General features: G+C 50.7%; 1 annotated feature.

Moving 5' to 3' along the window:
* Positions 462-1,158: an enhancer, noted in NCBI's record as "OCT4-NANOG-H3K27ac-H3K4me1 hESC enhancer chr4:76052289-76052985 (GRCh37/hg19 assembly coordinates)". NCBI's record gives its function as "activates a minimal SCP1, AML or CMV promoter by ChIP-STARR-seq in primed H9 embryonic stem cells {active_cell/tissue: H9 hESC(primed)}" and the evidence as "EXISTENCE:reporter gene assay evidence [ECO:0000049][PMID:30033119]".

The following is a 1,438-nucleotide window of genomic DNA, read 5'->3' as shown; positions in this document are numbered from 1 at the left end:
TCCAACTTGGTTCCATTCTCCCCATCACTTTCAGGTACACCAATCAGACGTAGATTTGGTCTTTTCACATCGTCCCATATTTCTTGGAGGCTTTGCTCATTTCTTTTTATTCTTTTTTCTCTAAACTTCCCTTCTCGCTTCATTTCATTCATTTCATCTTCCATCGCTGATACCCTTTCTTCCAGTTGATCACATCGGCTCCTGAGGCTTCTGCATTCTTCACGTAGTTCTCGAGCCTTGGTTTTCAGCTCCATCAGCTCCTTTAAGCACTTCTCTGTATTGCTTATTCTAGTTATACATTCTTCTAGATTTTTTTCAAAGTTTTCAACTTCTTTGCCTTTGGTTTGAATGTCCTCCCGTAGCTCAGAGTAATTTGATCGTCTGAAGCCTTCTTCTCTCAGCTCGTCAAAGTCATTCTCCATCCAGCTTTGTTCCGTTGCTGGTGAGGAACTGCGTTCCTTTGGAGGAGGAGAAGCGCTCTGCGTTTTAGGGTTTCCCGTTTTTCTGTTCTGTTTTTTCCCCATCTTTGTAGTTTTATCTACTTTTTGTCTTTGATGATGGTGATGTACAGATGGGTTTTTGGTGTGGATGTCCTTTCTGTTTGTTAGTTTTCCTTCTAACAGACAGGACCCTCAGCTGCAGGTCTGTTGGAATACCCTGCAGTGTGAAGTGTCAGTGTGCCCCTGCTGGGGGGTGCCTCCCAGTTAGGCTGCTCAGGGGTCAGGGGTCAGGGACCCACTTGAGGAGGCAGTCTGCCCGTTCTCAGATCTCCAGCTGCGTGCTGGGAGAACCACTGCTCTCTTCAAAGCTGTCAGACAGGGACATTTAAGTCTGCAGAGGTTACTGCTGTCTTTTTGTTTGTCTGTGCCCTGCCCCCAGAGATGGAGCCTACAGAGGCAGGCAGGCCTCCTTGAGCTGTGGTGGGCTCCACCCAGTTGGAGCTTCCTGGCTGCTTTGTTTACCTAAGCAAGCCTGGGCAATGGCGGGCGCCCCTCCCCCAGCCTCGCTGCCGCCTTGCAGTTTGATCTCAGACTGCTGTGCTAGCAATCAGCGAGACTCCGTGGGCGTAGGACCCTACGAGCCAGGTGTGGGATGTAATCTCATGGTGAGCCATTTTTTTAAGCCGGTCTGAAAAGCGCAATATTCGGGTGGGAGTGACCTGATTTTCCAGGTGAGTCCGTCACCCCTTTCTTTGACTCGGAAAGGGAACTCCCTGATCCCTTGCACTTCCCAAGTGAGGCAATGCCTCGCCCTGCTTCGGCTCGCGCACGGTGCGTGCACCCACTGACCTGCGCCCACTGTCTGGCACTCCCTAGTGAGATGAGCCCGGTACCTCAGATGGAAATGCAGAAATCACCCATCTTCTGCGTTGCTCACGCTGGGAGCTGTAGACTGGAGCTGTTCCTATTCGGCCATCTTGGCTCGTCCCTCTAGGTTT

The sequence above is a fragment of the Homo sapiens genome, chromosome 4 (assembly GCF_000001405.40).
Source record: "Homo sapiens chromosome 4, GRCh38.p14 Primary Assembly".
NCBI classification, from domain to species: Eukaryota; Metazoa; Chordata; class Mammalia; order Primates; family Hominidae; genus Homo; species Homo sapiens.
Note: the sequence above shows the minus strand (reverse complement) of the source record. Positions and strands in the feature narration are given on the sequence as shown.